The 18,886-nt window shown below is 36.5% G+C and overlaps 1 protein-coding gene across 1 annotated transcript in view, besides 1 other annotated feature; it reads right to left on the bottom strand.

Moving 5' to 3' along the window:
* Window positions 1–16,272, bottom strand: part of KLRF1 (killer cell lectin like receptor F1) — a 44,954-nt gene extending 28,682 nt beyond the window's left edge. The window contains exon 1 of the transcript NR_159359.1: window positions 16,194–16,272. The gene's annotated coding sequence lies outside the window, so the exon portion shown is untranslated. The remainder of the gene's footprint in view (window positions 1–16,193) is intronic.
* Window positions 18,171–18,270: an enhancer, noted in NCBI's record as "active region_5957". NCBI's record gives its function as "activates an Ori minimal core promoter by ATAC-STARR-seq in GM12878 lymphoblastoid cells {active_cell/tissue: GM12878}" and the evidence as "EXISTENCE:reporter gene assay evidence [ECO:0000049][PMID:35858748]".

Here is an 18,886-nt window from a genome sequence, read left to right as displayed (position 1 = left end):
GTACTAGTACACCTAATAATTCACTTGAAAATTGTCTCCTTTTCCCAAGATCTTGTTTGTGCTGGGTTTAGAGGTTCTAATGCCTATGGCAAGATTATTCTAATAAGGAATATGACCATTATCCTGATGAACAGGAAGATGAGACTTCCTTGTTGCACGTTGGGCTCCGCAGTCATTGAAGCAGCTGGCAGAGAAGAAGATTGCTGTGGCCAGGCGCAGTGGCTCACAGTTTAATCTCAGCACTTTGGGAGGCCGAGGCGGGCAGATCACCTGAGATCAGGAGTTCGAGACCAGCCTGACCAACCTGGAGAAACCCCATCTCTACTAAAAATACAAAATCAGCTAGGCGTGGTGGCGTGTGCCTGTAATCCCAGCTATTCAGGAGGCTGAAGCAGGAGAATCACTTGAATCCAGGAGGCGGAGGTTTCAGTGAGCTGAGATCACGCCATTGCACTCCAGCCTGGGCAACAAGAGTGAAACTCCATCTCAAAAGAAGAAGAATAAGAAGAGGAATAAGAAGCAGCAGCAGCCGCAGCAGCCATACAGGCAGAAATTGGGTTGCTCTTACACATTGTGGTAAGGACTATGCCTGGAAGCCAGGAGATTTACAGGAGCGTATTTTAGCACCACTTTCCTCATAGTCTTGGTAAATACAATGCTAGGCCAACCCAAGAAACACACCAATAACTTGGATCCAATATAATGATAATCTAGGTCATTGCTTGATCCACACACTTTGTACAATTAGCTGGACAGAGTCAAAGAAAAGAAAGATGGAGTGCGTAGCAAGCTATACCTTGTCTCCTGCTACTCAAGTGGTATCTGCTGACAGAGAAATAGACCTCAACCACACAAAAAATCCACAGAAGTCCATCTGCGGCTCAGATAGAATCATCCTGGATATAGATAGCTCCTATCCCAGAGTCCTCTTGTCAAATCTTCTCTCAGAAGTTAGTGTAGAAATGATTAATCAAACCATAGCATGTTGAGACATTTCTGTTACTTCCACAAATAAATTTTGAATTCATTGAAATAACTGGCTTTTTACATTTAAGCTAGAAAGTAGTATATTAGAAAATAGGTAGGATTTGCCTTGTCAAGTTAATTTGAAGGTGCAATTTCTATAGTTCTTGTTATCATCATGATTTATAAGAAAAGTATTCTTGTTTCATTTTATTTCTTTTTTATATTCTTATTGGTACATAATATTTTCATGTATCTCTAAGGTACATGTCATATTTTGATACATGCATCGGTTGTGTAATTATCAAGTCAGGGTGTTTAGGATATCCATCACCTCAAGCATTTATTATTTCTTTGTGTTGGGAACACTTCAAATCTTCTCATAACTATTTTGAAATATAAAATACATCGTCGTTAACTATAGTCACTCTACTATTCTGTTGAACACTAGAACTTATTCCTTCTAATTGTATGTTTGCATACCTCCCCCCTCCCACACACACACACACACATCCTTCACAGCTGCTAGTAACTATCATTCTACTCTTTACCTCCATTACAATAACCTTTTATGGTGGCAGCAAAGGGTGGGCTGGGCGGGCAGCCCTCGGGCCCCCAAAGGAGTGCAGATGTCAGCGGTGGTGGAAAGGCGGTCCCCAGGCCACTGAATGATGCACTTGGGCACTTGTGGGCCGTACCAGGCTTTGCGGGTCCAACCTCAGGCCTCCTGATGGTGCACACAGGCTGTGGTAGGTGGGGCTTGCGAGCAGCCAGGCTGGGTCTTCAGTCAGGCCTCCTGATGGTGCAGGAGCATACGCGGAGCTACGGGTGGGACAGGGCCATGGATCCCCAGGCCCCTGGGCAGTGTGCTCAGGCACTGGGAGAGGCTTTGCTTGGTGGTGTGGTCCTACCCTCAGACAACCCAATCCCCTATGTTGTGCTCAGGGCTCAGGCTGTGGTTGGCAGAGTGGGCAATCCCCAGGCGCCTCCCAGCGGCGTGCTTGGGTGGTGGCAGTCCCGGCTGTGGAGATGGCAGTGGGTGGAGAAAGCCTGTCGGTGCGCAGCTGCTTTGCTATTGGGAGTCGGGGTGGCTGTCAGTGGCAGCGACCTCACTCAAGTGGCTGTCAGGCTCTGGGGAGCTTGCGTTTTGGCTCCCTTTGACTGGAGGCAGCCTCCCCAGTGCACTGCACTGCCGATTCCCCCGGGGTGTAGAACACCTTTGGGGCTAGAGTGCCAGGGACCCAGCCACACGGCTGGCACCAATCAGCCTTGTGCCACTACAGCCCTCCCGGTGTGTGGGGTGTTGTGGGGGAAGTGAAGGATGTCTGCGGGGCTCCAGGGATGTGGAGATGCGGAAGCTGTTGAGACCCGAGGCAGGATGAAGTCTTGTTGGGGCTGGGCTCCAAATAGCCTGGTCCAGGAGGTGTGTGGGACCTCGCCTGAGCTCCGTCCTGGAACAGTGCTGTTGCGCGGTGCAGGCTCCAGGCAGCTCCCCATCCTAGTCTCGGGGCCCCCAGGGCTCTCCCATGGCTACGACTGCAGGAGTCTGCGGTGGGAATGTGGACACACTTTCCCTGCACTAAGAAGTCTCTGGGCTCCCAGACAGTTTCAGCTGAGCTACCTGCCTCCCCTCTGTCTCTTTCCTGCCTCAGAGCTTTCCTGTCGCTTCTCTGCTTAATTCGAATGTGTTCTTTTAGATGCTGTATTCCAAGTCTGATTTTCTACTGGGTGTTTTGGTTCTTCTTTGTGGAGGAAAGTACTGAGGGCCTGTAGACAGCCATCCTGAAGCCTCTCTCGGGGGAAAAATGTTTTCTTCCTCCGTATCATGAAATGTGTGAAAAGAGTCGAAATTGCGACCTTGTAAATTTGTTATTCTATTTTTTAAAATTCCAGCTGGGCGTGGGGGCCTGCGCTTGTACTCCCAGCTACTGGGGAGGCTGAGGTGGGAGGATCACATGCACAGAAGTTAAAAGCTGCAGTGAGCCCTGATCATACCACCGCACTCCAGCCTGGCTACAGAAAGAGTCCCCGTCTCGAAAATAATTAATTAATTTTAAAATCCTACAAGGTTTTTAGGAAGGAATTTTTGGTTAGATTTATATGTCAGTTAAGACATAAAAGAACCAGCATGGCACATGTATACATATGTAACTAACCTGCACATTGTGCACATGTACCCTAAAACTTAAAGTATAATAATAATAAATTAATTAATTAAAAAAATAAAAAAATAAAAAGACATAAAAGAGGGAATGCCATGAGACTGGCAGCAGGTTTCCACAGTGCACTTTGCTGCAAGGATATTCCCCCAAGCCTGGAGGGCAACCCAATGGCTGACCACCCACTCTGTGATCGGCCCATCCCCCATGGAAGTTTTACCTCTTGATGATGAATGCTCTCATATCCTCCAAGTGTACAAGCATTTGAAATGCTTAAACAACACTACAAAATTAAATGAATAAGTAACTGATTTGACAAATACGGTCAAACTGCATTAAAAGAGAAAGCAACAACAATATTCTGTCTCAAAACTGCCCCTGCTTATTAGGAAGTCAGACTGATTTCTTCCCACATCATAGGCAATTCCCATAAGTTTTCCATTCTCTCTAAGGTAATAAATATTATCCTCTGTATTTCAGGTGATAAAATATACCCCAAGGAACATGAAACAGACTCCCTGTGGGTAAAATAACAGAAACAGACAAACAAATGAGAAACCAGAATCTGATAGATAGCAGGATGAGGGACTAGTCAGGTATCCCAGGGTTATTAATTGCCATAAGTTTTCCTTCCCATAATTAAACAGGAAGGAAATACTGAAAAGCATTGCCAAAACAACCATAGCTGGGAAATTTCCAAAATATCTTGACAGATTGCCTGATGCCAGCGGACAACCTTCTCCCCAGCCTTGCTGTCCTGCCATAAGTCAGACTGTCCTACCATAACTCAGATTGGAAAAAGAACCCAATCTTTTTTTTTTTTTTTTTTTTTTTCCTGAGACGGCGTCTCGCTCTGTCGCCCAGGCTGGAGTGCAGTGGTGCAATCTGGGCTCACTGCAAGCTCTGACTCCCGGATTCACACCATTCTCCTGCCTCAGCCTCCCGAGTAGCTGGGACTACAGGCGCCCGCCACCACGTCTGGCTAATTTTATGTATTTTTAGTAGAGACGGGGTTTCACCATGTTAGCCAGGATTGTCGTGATCTCCTGACCTCATGATCCGCCCGCCTCGGCCTCCCAACGTGCTGGGATTACAGGCGTGAGCCACCGCGCCCGGCCAGACCCAATCTTATAAACATTCTTTATTGATGAATGGCCACAGACCTTAAACCAGTTACAGACAGCTTGTGGAGATTATGTACAAACTATTTTTGTACGCTATAGTTCACCTTTTGAGGTAAAGAGCCAAATTCCACCCGATTTAATGTTAAAACACCATCCCAAAGTGACCGTGGGGTGCATGTTACATCTGCTTACCCAATGCACTAGTGCTTGACTTCCTTCATGAATATTCATAAGTATTCACAGAATTTTCCCAACCCTGCTCAGTATGTATGTAAAACTGACTGTATAAGACATGTATACCAGCCCCCTCTCACTTCTTCAGAGAGTGAACTTTCGGATTTTCCCGAAAGCTGCATTTCCCTAATTCTAGGGTTATTTTTCCCTCTGAAAATAAAGTCTTCTCCTTTCCTTCCTTTGTGGATCTCATGGTCTTTTGATAATGAAGATAATAAAAGATCCAATTCCGCCTAATATCTTAAGTCCAACTTTTATCTAATTTAACACTTTTCCTCTCTCTCAGCTTGGATTGGATCTGCTTAGTTTGGGACCATTAAGGGGGCAAGTGAGTATAACGGGCTCTGCATGAGCTTCTTCCCTCTCTAGTATCTCTTTCCATTCCCCAACCCTGATCCCCAGAATGAGTGAAGGTGAAACAAAGGGAATAGAAATAAACACGGAATAAAGATGTTACCAGCCTGGACAGTTTTAATCTGTATGCTGACACTCCAAATGTTTTCTCTCTTTTTTTTTTTTTTTTTGGACTACTTCTATGGGTTTTTCAGAAATTCTGCTCCTGGGGTACTCTGCAGTTGTCTGATGTGTGATGTCTCCTTTGGCAATCCTGCTTGCAAATCACTGTACCTCACCCCTCACAACTCCCCAGGTACCTTTTTTTTTTTTGCTTTCTACTCTATACTTCCAGCTTCTTTTCATTGAGGCTGACTTGCCTGTGGTAAGAAGCAGTCTTAGGTGAATTTTATTTTAGGATGGTTCCCAAATGGCTGCTTTGTATGAGATCTTCATCCGGCCCACAGGAAACACTCCCTTCAGCCTCACCATTGCTGGAAGTGTGGCTTAATCTACACATCTGCTTTTACTCTGTGGTTATGTGTAGTTCTAACAAACTCACATACTGAAAGTGTTCACCTCTGCAACCTCCAACTCCCAGAGGACACTTGCCAATATATGACAGAATCCAAACTTGGCTTAAGGTAAAAGAGAAGTTCTTTTGCTTATTGACACAGAAAGATATTGGGAAATGGGAAGTACACTGGCAAGTCACTTCATAAAAAAAATTCTCACTTCCTAATCTCTGAACACTCATAAACTCTTAATGTGCTCTGAAAGTAGATGATAGATCGAAATTTGAAATAAACACTTTTGCAAGCTTGTTAGCATGTCCTATATAGGAGGTCTAGCACCTATAGAATTGTTCTTGACATTTGTGCCCTCAGATAAAAGTAAACAGCAGGAATGACCACATTTTAATATCCTACTAGTCATTCAATATTTATGAATTATTTTCTGAGGACTTATTACATGTCAGACACTGTTTGGGGAGTCTATTTTAGACTTCAAACATCTTTTAAAAACAAACATTTCATTAAACTATAGGTGAAAATTTAAGCATATAGTCATTAAGTTTGTGAATCAGACCTATCTTGGAGAGGAATTTAATTTGTTTAAATTTATCAAAGGACACACAAAAGATAAGCCCTAGTTATTCTAACCACTTATTAACACAGCTACCTGCGATTTCTGGGAGCTTAACTTCCGTTCAGGCTCAGAAACTCTAATTTTGGGAATATACTTGGACCACATTGTTAATTTGGGAGGATTCAGATAAAGTATGAGAAATGCATTCACATTTGACTATGAGAACATCAAGTTATATTGTATAATACCAAAAATAATGGTCCCTTGAATATATCCAGGATGACCTACAAACAGAATTGTTCCTAGATAAAAACCCTCAAGCTTGTAGAAAATCTATGTTGACACTCACTATTCAGATGTTGTCATTCACAACTCTGAGTTTCAGTGATTTAATGATGAAATTTAGGACTGAGAAGCTTGTTTCTTGCAGATTTATCAACCTTGCTAATTGATCTTTATGTCATTCTCCTTTTGTATACTTCAGGTAAATAAATAAATATTTGATTTATTCATGGGGTGATTTTGTTTGATACATTAATCCATAGGCACAGTCAATATTTTCAAAACAGTAGTTTTACATCAAATAAAGCAGCATTAAAAAAAACAGATTTATCAATAGAATAACAACTTTTGAAAGTGGAACTTATTTTTTTAAATCAATTTTCTTAACCTAAGTTTAAATCTAAGTAACCCGCTTTTTCCAACAATAATAACAATTTATCTTTGAATACTACACAAAATCTCATGACATAATCAAAATTAACTGGGGTATATGGATGCTTCTTTCAAGAATTGGTATCAATTCTGCCTTCTGGAGCCAGTAAACTAAGCGTAACATCAATATGACAGCTGTTGGAACAATTTACGTTAACAAACTTATTCCCAGCAGCCCTTTTCCTGATTCTGGCTAAGTAGCTTTAGTTCCTGGAAATAATACTTAAGTTACGGTTTCAACTAATTCAAATCCCTGTTTTTTCTCATCTGTACTCTTAAAAGTAGGCATTTACATATGTGCATGTATGCAGAGGAAAACTAAGAGAAAGTTAAGATGGTTTGAAACAATCACATAAAAATTATTTCAAAGAATTGGGCCAGGAATGGAGGAAAAAAGTCCCACCCTTTCTTTTTAGATATATTTGTATTGATTTTACCTAAAATTCATTACTTCACACAATCTTATTTTGAGCTTGTTGGTCATTGAATTTCCCCTAGTGCTCTTGCATACATCTACAAATAAAGGCAATTCTTCCCATCTTGTTAACTTCTTCAGTTTAGATTTTAATACACTTAAAAAATTCATCTCGCTAAACTCTCAATTTTCTCCGAAATGCAGAATGTTTGGAGTTTATGATTCTATTACTCAGTGTATTAGATATCCAAGTTGTATGTCATCTATACATTGAATATATTAACCTAAGCATTTATAAAATGTGGAGTAAGAGAGAATGAAATGCAAAACATTCTGGCATATAGAAAATGATCTCTCTCCTAACTAATGGCACCTAACCTGAGGTAGCACTGCTTTCATGTAGATATTATAGCATTCTGTGGCATACATCTCAGTGAAAATCATATACATGATACATTCATTGTTTTCCAAAACCATTAATGTGATAAGTCTTTTAACACCAAGAATACGAGGTCATTCTAGCATGACTTGCCTGCTTACTCATATTACACATATGGATATTTACTAAGACTTAGCTAACTATATTTTTAATATTGCACTCTGCCAACTCTTGCCTAAAGCTCTTTGATTCAAACGTCTACCAAACCAAGGCTGCATGATTGCAGCATTCTGTGGTACATGGAGAAACTACTGTTAGCATTCACTCCTGCTTTTGGGGAGGATGCGGGTCTTTTTTGAGCCTACTGTTTTCTTACCATCCTGTCATTGATCTTTAAGCTAGTTAACTTTAAGTGAATATATTTTCTAACATATTAGGATATATAGATGATTACCATGAACCTAGTTACCTGTTATTACAACTAGGGCATAAGTTCTAATTATTTGAAATCACTGTTATTCTGAAAAAAAAATCAAAAAGCAAGTAAATTTGACTCAAAGAAGCAAGTGGAGTGAGATTTATTTTAGACCAATTATTTCTTCTTACTTTTACAAACACATTGGGGGAAAAGCATTAATCAGGAAGGAGCACAAAGGAATTTTCTATGGTACTGGAACTATCCCACAAATGTATCAGAATGGTGATTACATGGATTCACACATATGTCAAATGTATTAAACTGCACAATTTAAATTGGTGCATTTTATTCACTGAGCTGTAGGCAAGTTTTACTTTAGTTAAAAAAAAGAAGTACTCACATACAAAATAAACCAACATATCAAAACAGAAGCATCATTATTAGAGGGGAAATATAATTATCCCTTTTAGTTCCTATAAATACAATCCAGTTCCTAATAAGAAATTGGTACTGTAAGTTGAAATGTCCCAACCCACCTTTACTTTTTGCTTGATGGTTGTTTTTATTAGTTAATAATAGTTAACATAGGAATGACATATTCAGTGTGCTGAGTAAAAATAAAAGTTAAATTACATTTTAAAAATTTAAAAACTCTGTCAACTAAGAGTCTTATGTCTGGTTACACTATCTGTATTATCTTTCAAACATGACAGTGAAATGAACACCCCTCCCCGCAAAAAAGTAAACTGAGAAAAGCCATTGATAGCAGACTTACTTTGTAAGAAATACTAAAAAATATTCTTAAGAGTGAAAGCAAATGACACTCAACAGTAACTTGAATCAACAGGAATAAACAAATATTAGTAAATATGTAGCTAAGTATATAAGATAGTATAATTGTATATTTCTTTCCTTTCTTCTTTTAACTTATTAGAAGTCAGTTGTATAAAACAATGTGCAAACAATTGTAATGTTGAGTGTATAACAAATAGAAATATGATGTGTTTGACGATAGCTGCACAATGGAGGAAGATGAGAGAAACACTTATATTGGAGTAAGTCAACTGTATCAGATACCTGAGAAACAAAGAAATGAAGATAATATCTTAAAGAAGAAATAAGGAAAACTCAGAATAGTAAGTAAGAAGGTTAATATAGCAAAATCTAAAAATGTTTACTTGTTTTCTTTTTTAAAAGACATAAAATTATATAAAGTAATAACACAATAATTTATTCTTTGGTCTGTAACATATAAAGACATAATATGTATAAACAGCACCAAAAAAGGCAAAAGGATTAAAATCATGAGTGATTTTCTAGATCCTACTGAAATTAAGGTAGTATATATCTCAAATAGATTCTTATAAGTTAATTGTACATCATAAGCCCTACAGTAAACATTAAAAGGAAACCTGAAAAGTGTACTAAAAAAATCTTTAAAGAAATTAAAGTTAAACTAGGAGGTATTACATTAACGCCAAAAAAAATTAAGTAAATAGAAAACAGAAGACATAGGCCAGGCATGGTAGCTCATACTTGTAATCTGAGCACTTTGAGAAGCTGGGCAGAAGGGTCATTTGAGGTCAGGAGTTTGAGACCAGCCTGGGCAACAGGTCAAGGCCCTGTCTCTACAAAATGCTTTTAAAAGTTAGCCAGGCATAGTGGCATGTGCCTGTCGTCTCAGCTACTAAGAAGGCTAAAGCGAAGGATTGCTTGAGCCCAAGAGGTTAAGGTTGCAATGAGCCGTGATTACACCACTGTACTCCAGTCTGGGCAACAGAATCAGACCCTGTCTCTAAAAAAAATAGAAAAATGAAACAAAAATGACTTGAGACACACAGAAAACTGAAAATGGCAGACATAAAACCAGCCATGTTAATAGTTCTAGTAAACAGAAATGGATTAGCCAATCAAAAGGCTCAGATTGTCAAACTGGATTAAATGAACACAATCCAACTATATGCCATCTACATAAGAAACTTCAGATTCAGATAAAAATAAGTTGAAAGTAAAAGTCTGTAAAATGATACCAAATGCAGAGCCAGTATTAAGCGACCTGGGCTAGCCTCAACACATTTTAAAAAATTGAAATCATATAAATTATGTCTTCCTACAACAATGCAATAAAATTAGATATCAAAAAAGATAGAATTTTTGACATTTACAAATATGTGGAACTTAAACAACTTACAGCTAGGTTTGTCAATGGATCAAAGACAAAAATCACAAGGAAAATTAGAAAATACTTTGAGATAAATGAAAAATAAAGCAAACATATAAAAATTATAGGATGCAAACAAAGCAGTTCTTACAGTAATATTTACACCTACAATGCTATACTATTAAAATAGAAGAAATCTCAAATAATAACCTAAGCTACCACCTTAAGGAATAATAATATTAAAGTAAAATGTACAACGAAATAAGCCTAAAGCAAGCAGAAAGAAGGGAAAAAGAAAGATTACAGTATAAATAAATGAAATAGAGAATAGAAATCAATAGATAAAATCAACAAAACAAAAGTTAATTCTTTGAAGATATCAACAAACTCAACTAAACTTTAGGTAGACTGACCAAGAAAATACGGAAAATACCACCAAAATCAGGAATGAAAGAGGGGAACATAACTACTGACTTTACAGCAACTTTAAAAAGACAAAAAAAGAATTGTAAAGGAGTAATACAAACAATCAAGTATTACAAATTAGATTACTTAAATGAAACAAAAAAATTTTTTTGAGAGATTCAACTGATGAAAAGTCTCAAAGAAATAGAAAAACCACATAGAAATATAAAAGTAAAGAAATTAAATCAGTGGTTTTAAAACTTCCTAAGGAAAAGTCCAGATCCAGATTACTTATCTGGTGAATTCTACCAATTATTAAAAAAATTAATACAAATCTTGCACAAACTCTTCCAAAAAACTATAACAAGAGAGAACATTCTGCTATGGTTTGAATGTCTGTGCTCCCTTCAAAATTCATGTTGAAATATAATCATCAACGCAATAGTATTAAAAGGTGGGACCTTTTGGAGGTGATTAGTCCAAAAGGGCTCTGCTCTCATGATTGGTGACCTTATTAAAAGGGCTGGAGGGAATTAGCTTGGGTCCTTTGGGCCCTTCCATCCCTCTTGCCCTTTTGTCCCTTCTGTCACGTGAGACAGAAGGGACACACAAGATGTCAATGTGTCATCTTGGAAGCAGAGACCAGGCCTTTACTGGACATTGAGCCTGCTAGCAGCTTGATTTTGGGCTTCTGAGCCTCCAGAATTGTAAGAAATAAATTTCTATTATTTATAAATTGCCCAGTCTAAGGTATTTTGTTACAGCAGCAGGAATAGATAATCACAATTTCCCAACTCATTTCTTGAAGCCAACAACACACTGATAATAATATAATACTATGTTAAAAAATTACAAGAAAAGAAAACTACAGGCTCTTATTACTATAGATATAAAAATTGTCAATAAAATATTAGCAAATTGAATCAAACAATACACAAAAAGTATTACACAATGATCAAATAGAATGTATCTCAGAAATGCAAAATTGGTTGAACATCCAAAAATATATTAATTTAATATACCATATCAATAAAATAAAACATCAAAACAATATGATCTTCCCAACTGACATATAAAAACACTCTTCTATGCTGAAAACAGTCAACAAATGATTAAGGTAAGGGAACTTTTTCAATCTGATACAGAACATCTACAAAAAAACACATTTGGTGTTATACTTGGTATAACAGACTTGAGGCTTTCCCTATAAGATCAGGAACAAGACAAGGATATCTACTCTCAGAGAAGTATTTGAACAAATGATTCTTGAACAACTGGATATTCATATACAAAACATAAAGTTAAACCTCTTGCTACACCATATACAATTTAAATCAAAAAAATCAACAACCTAAAGTAACAGAAAAACAATAAAACTTTTAAGTGAAAAATGACCATAAATCTTCATAATCTGTTTTAGAAATAGTTTCTTTAGATATTACACTAATCGCACAAATAATCAAAGAAAAAACAGATAAATTGAACTTCCTCAAAATTAAAAACATTTTTGCTTAACATAATACTATCAAAAAAGTGAAAGGATAACCCATAATGTGAGAAAATTTTTGCATATCATATATCTGATGGAGGACTTGAAAGAAGAATATATAAAGAACTCCTACAATTCATTATTTAAAAGATACATTACCCCATTAAAATATGGGCAAAAGATCTGAAAAGACATTTCTCCCAAGAAGACATAAAAGACACAAATTGAAAAAAGGCCATGAATGATTATCAAGAACATAGTTATTAAAGAAACACAAATGAAAACCATAATAAGATATCATTTCATGCCCACTAGGATAGCTATAATAAAAAAGACAGACAATAACAAGTATTGATAAGGATGGAGAAAAATCAGACCTAGCTACCTTGCTAATGAGAATGTAAAATGGTGTAGCCACTTTGGTAAACAGTTTGGCAATGCCTCAAAATGTTAAATCCCAGCAAGTTATTTCCAGGATATCAACAAAGTTATTCTAAGGTTTATATGGAGAGGGAAAAGAAACAGAAAAGCCAACACAATATTGAAAGAGAAGAACAAATTTGGACTGACATTACTTGACTTCAAGACTTAGTATAAAGCTGCAGTAATCAAGAGTGTGTTGTTAACTAAAGAAAAGACAAACAGATCAAGGGAACAGAATGGACAGCCCAGATGTAGACTCACATAAATGCAGTAAACTGATCTTTGACAAGGCAGCAAGAGAGTACAAAGGAGCAAAGGATCTTCTTTATAACAGTGATGCTGGAACTGGACATCCACAAGCAAAAAATAAGAAGAAGAGAAAAATTTTTAAATAAAAACAGACAGAATTTGTACTCTTCTCAAAAATTAACTCAAAATAAATTTTATGAAAAAATGTAAAACACAAAACCATAAAACTCATAGAATAAAACTTAAAATAAAATCTAGATGATGTTGGGTATGAGAATTTTTTAGATACAACACCAAAGATATGATTTATGAAAGAAAGGATTAATAAACTGAACTTTTTTCAAACTAAAGACTTAAAGACTTCTACTCTGCCCAAGATACTGTCAAAACAATGAAAAGGTTTTCTTCCAGGGTTTTTATGGTTTTGGGTTTCACACTTAAGTCTCTAATCCATCTTGAGTTAATTTTTGTATAAGGTGCAACGAAGAGGTCCAGATTCTGTTTTCTGCATATGGCTAGCTAGTTCTCCCAGCACCATTTATTAAATAGGGAATCCTTTCCCCATTGCTTATTTTTGTCAGGTTTGTCGAAGATCAAATGGTTGTAGATGTGTGATGTTATTTCCAAGGTCTCTGTTTTGTTCCATTGGTCTATGTGTCTGCTTTGGTACCAGTACCATGCTGCTTTGGTTACTGTAGCCTTGCAGTATATTTTGAAGTCAGGTAGCATGCTGCCTCCAGCTTTGTTCTTTTTGCTTAGAATTGTCTTGGCTTTACGGGCTCTTTTTTGGTTCCATATAAAATTTAAAGTAGTTTTTTCTAATTCTGTGAAGAATGTCTGTGGTAGTTTGGTGGGAATATCATTGAATCTATAAATTACCTTGGGCAGTATGGCCATTTTTATAATACTGACTCTTCCTATCCACGAGCATGGAATGTTTTTCATTTGTTTGTGTCCTCTCTTATTTCCTTGAGCAGTGCTTTGTAGTTCTCCTTGAAGAAGTCCTTCACATCCCTTGTAGGCTGTATTCCTAGGTATTTTATTCTCTTCATAGCAATTGTGAATGGGAATTTATTCATGATTTTGTTCTCTGCTTGTCTGTTATTGGTGTATATGAATGCTTGTGATTTTTGCACATTGATTTTTGGGCTCATTAAGGAGTTTTTAGGCTGAGACAATGGGGTTTTCTAAATATAGAATCATGTTGTCTGCAAACAGAGACAATTTTATTTCCTCTATTCCTATTTGAATATCCTTTATTTCTTTCTCTTGCCTGATTGCCCTGGCCAAAACTTCCAATACTTAGTTGAATAGGAGTGGTGAGAGAGGAAATACTTGTCTTGTGCCGGTTTTCAAAGTGAATGCTTCCAGCTTTTGCCCATTCAGTATGATATTGGCTGTGGGTTTGTCATAAATAACTCTTATTATTTTGAGACACATCCATCAATACCTAGTTTATTGAGAGTTTTTAACATGAAGGGATGTTGAATTTTATCAAAGGCCTTTTCTGCATCTATTGAGATAATCATATGATTTTTGTCATTGGTTCTGTTTATGTGACGGATTACATTTATTGATTTGTATATGTTGAACTAGCCTTGTATCCCAGGGATGAAGCCAACTTGATTGTGATGGATAAGCTTTTTGATGTGCTGCTGGATTCAGTTTGCCAGTATGATATTGAGGATTTTTGCATTGATGTTCATCAGGGATATTGACCTGAGGTTTTCTTTTTTTGTTGTGTCTCTGCCAGATTTTGGTATCGGGATGATTCTGGCCTCAGAAAACACAAACCATAAAAATCCTAAAAGAAAACCTAAGCAATACCATTCAGAGCATAGGTATGGGCAAAGACTTCATGATGAAAATGCTAAAAGCAATTGCAACAAAAGCCAAAATTGACAAATGGGATCTAATTAAACTAAAGAGCTTCTGCACAGCAAAGTAAACTATCCTCAGAGTGAACAGGCAACCTACAGAATGGGAGACAATATTTGCAATCTACCCATCTGATAAAGGTCTAATATCCATAATCTAAAAGGAACTTAAACAAATTTACAAGAACGAAACAAACAATCCCATTCAAAAAGTGGGCAAAGGATATGAACAGACACTTCTCAAAAGAAGACATTATGTGGCCAACAAACATATGAAAAAAAGCTCAACATCACTTGTCATTAGAGAAATGCAAATCAAAACCACAATGAGATACCATCTCACACCATTCAGAATGGCGATTATTAAAAAGTCAAGAAACTATAGATGCTGGTGAGGCTGTGGAGATAGTGGAATGCTTTTACACTCTTGGTGGGAATGTAAATTTGTTCTACCATTGTAGAAGACAGTGTGGTGATTCCTCAAGGATCTAGTACCAGAAATACCATTTGACCCAGCAATCCCATTACTGGGTATATACCCAAAGGAGCATAAATCATTCTACTATAAAGACACATGCAGACATATGTCTATTGCAGCACCATTCACAATAGCAAAGATATGGAACCAACCCAAATGCCCATCAATGATAGACTGGATAAAGAAAATGTGGTACATATACACCATGGAATACTATGCAGCCATAAAAAAGAATGAGATCATGTCCTTTTCAGGGACATGAATGAAGCTGGAAGCCATCATCCTCAGCAAACTAACACAGGAACAGAAAACCAAACACCGCATGCTCTCACTCATCAGTGGGAGTTAAACAATGAGAACACATGGACACAGGGAGGGGAACAACACACACTAGTGCCAGTCAGGGGATGGGGGGAAGGGGAGGGAGAGCATTAGGACAAATAGCTAATGCATGTGGGGCTTAAAACCTAGATAGTGGGTTGATAGGTGCAGCAATCCACCATGGCACACGTATACCTATGTAACAAACCTACATGTTCTGCACTTGTATCCTGGAACTTAAAAATAAATGAATAAAATTTTTTAAAAAATGAAAAGATAAGCCACAGACCAAAAGAAAATACTTAACAAAAGACATATCAGATAAAGGACTGTAATCCAAAATAGATAAATAACTCTTAAAGCTCAACAATAAGAAAATGAATTACCTGATTAAAAAATGGGCCAAAGATCTGAACAGATACCTTGTTAAGAAGATATACAAATGGAAAATAACCTTATTAAAATATGATCAATATCATATGTCATTAGGTAATTTCACATTAAAACATGCTATTACAGAAAAACCAATTACTATATGTTCTCACTTATAAGTGGGAGTTAAGTTATGAGTATACAAAGGCGCACAGAGTGATATAATGGACTTTGGAGACTCAGAAGGGGAAGAATAGGAGGGGTTTTGGAATAAAAAACTACATATTGGGTAAAGAGTGCACTACTTGGGTGATTGATGAGTGTAATAAAATCTCAGAATTCACCACTATATAAATTCATCCATGTGACCAAAAATCACTTGTACTCCAAAAGCTATTGAAATTTAAAATTTTCTTTGAAAACATTTACACACCAATTAGAAATGTCAAAATCCAAAATATGAACAACACCAAATGCTGATAAAGATGTGGAGCAATAGGACTTTCATTCTTTGCTGATTGAAATGCAAAATGGCACAGCCACTTGGAAAACATGTTGACAGTTTCTTAGAAAACTAAACACATTCTTACCATATAATCCAGTAATCCCACTTCTTGGTCTTTATCCAAATGAGTCGACAACTTATGTCCACACAAAAGCCTGCTCATGAATGTTTACAGCAGCTTTATTCATAATTGCCAAACCTTGGAAGAAACCAAGATGTCTTTCAGTAGGTGAATGGATAAACTGTGGTACATTCAGACAATGGAACATTCTTCATCACTAAAATGAAATGGGCTATCAAGCTATGAAAAGGCATGGAAGACCCTTAAAATGCGTAGTTTAAATAATTAAATAAATAAAAGATTTAAATAAAATACAAGATTTAAATAAAAAGTGTGCATATTAAAAATACATGAGCTGCAAAAAATATATTCTTGAGGCACAAAACTATAAAATATCACATAATCACTTTTTTAAATAATTATGGGGCCCTTTTCTTATAGATGTTTGTAATGTGTTTGCTTACATGCCTTTAATGGATATGTGCTCTGAATTTATATATTCATTGTCTAATTATTTTAAAAGTTAATATTAAATGCCTATACATTATAAATTAATAAATCAAGAACTTATTGCTTGTCAGCTAATGTGCTAGATACTGGAGAATAAAGATATTAGTAAAAGCTTCAACTGCCTCAAAGGATTTTATATTTACAATACAGGCTAAGCTCAAATATAGAGAAAAAGTGTATGATGGCAAGGCTTAGAAATCTCTAGAACTACATCTGATAGAACAGAAAGGGAACAAATTGACAAGACAAAGGTGGATATTAAGATACTTTTTCTGATTGAGCATTGGTAGTGGTAATTCAAACATGAAGTGATTTCTACATGTATTCTACATGCATTATATCATTAGAACCTCTTATCACACTTTAGTTGCAGCTTAGATTGTTAACCTTGTTTGAAAACGAAGAATAGAAACATAAGAAGAATCATATTATTCTCCAAAGTTACCTAGAGATAGTAAAATTCTGGGGCTAGGACTTAGAGGCCTCAAATCTGACTTCATGGAGCTGTTTCTCCACACAAGCTTTACCTAGACTAATGAGTAGTACAATCGGTTCTATACTCTCTTAAAACCTTAGTCCTTCAACAGCTGGAAACACACTGCTTTGCAAATCACTTAAATATCTAGTTAAATTAGTTTTTTTTTTCTTTTTATGCAAACAATGACCCCTGAAAGGAAAAAAAAAAACACCCTGGTACTTCTATGGGATCAAAAAATAGATATTATATAATAAAATACAACAGATGATATAATTTCTGTGATTTCACATCATACAAAGTTGAAACATATATGAAAAATATATTAAAACCATGTGATTGAACATTCACATAAAGTACAAAAGACCAAAGTTTAGAAAATAAACTGCAAAATCCTCTGTTTCTGCTCATATATCTAAGCCTTTTCTCTTGGTCATAAACACTACATAGATAGAGAAAGCAGCTTTGCTCTTAATAATACCTGAGCATTGAAGACCGTTTTCCCCAAAATAGCTTCTACCATACACGCATTCATTCTTTCACTCATTCACTCACTCAATATCAATTTAATACCTAGAATGTTTCAGATATTGAAAGAACAATAACTTAAGATCAATGATTTATAATTGAGAAAGGAAATGTCAAATATCGGTGATGGAGGTTATTCTTACCTAATTTCTATTTTTTAATTTATATACCATTAATACTTTATGAAACACATGAAATAGAAGAGTCTATAACTTTTATTTGTGTATTTCTAACATCTGTCAGTTTCTGGCCCACTTGTTTGTCTAATAAGTGTTTGACTAATGATCAAATGGAAAATAGAATCTGGTGAAGGTGTCCAAACGCAGAAAGGAAGGTGTTTACAGGGAGGACAATATGAGAGCCCAGCACTTTACCTCCTGACCACACAGTAGCAGGTGTTTCCTTAAGGCCTCACACCACCACTAGAGAGCAACAGTTCACAAGCGAACTGAAGGTCTACGTGCAAGAGCCCTTGCAGGAATGCAGAAGAACAGGAAGGCTGTGAGGTGTAGGCCTTGTGTCAGAAATTGGTCTGAGGAGCTCATTTACTCCAAGGCAGTTATTTGAAACACAAAATCAAGTGATGTGCTTTAATTCGCTGGCCCTGTGCCCTCTATTATTTAACCCGATTCTTTCTTCGAGTCATACAAAACAATTACTCTAATTATTTTTTTAAAATATTTTTAAGCATCTGTCCTGATCTGGTCATTGTGCTCAGTATTGCCACACTGCCTATTATTATGTGCCTGCATTCACCATCTGTTATACAGCAGGAATAATGAATAGTTTCATCTTTTAAATTTTAGTTTTTAGGATTATCTCCCCCTCCAAAAACATTGAAATGATTACAATTATATAAATTAAAGTAATTTTGATTTAGGATATCCCCCTACTATTAAATACCAAATAAGACAACTGAATATGCATTTCAAGTTTATGAATGCAAATAAACATATATGTTAATGATTAGGAACCCTCTTGTATTAGAGTCAATTGCCCTCAAGCTGGTAAAGAAATTAGAGTTTCTTTTTCCCAGCTTTATTATATAAAAAGTTTATATGCCACAAATAGGCTAATTTGATTGCTTTATAAACATATTGCCTCTTTAAAATACAAAGTAAAATAACTTGCAAAAGGAACTTGAAATCTGTCAATGTCAATCTGTTCTAGCACAATCTATCCCAAATCTTCAATAGGCCTGAAA

Source organism: Homo sapiens, chromosome 12, assembly GCF_000001405.40.
Source record: "Homo sapiens chromosome 12, GRCh38.p14 Primary Assembly".
In the NCBI taxonomy this organism is placed as follows: domain Eukaryota; kingdom Metazoa; phylum Chordata; class Mammalia; order Primates; family Hominidae; genus Homo; species Homo sapiens.
Note: the sequence above shows the minus strand (reverse complement) of the source record. Positions and strands in the feature narration are given on the sequence as shown.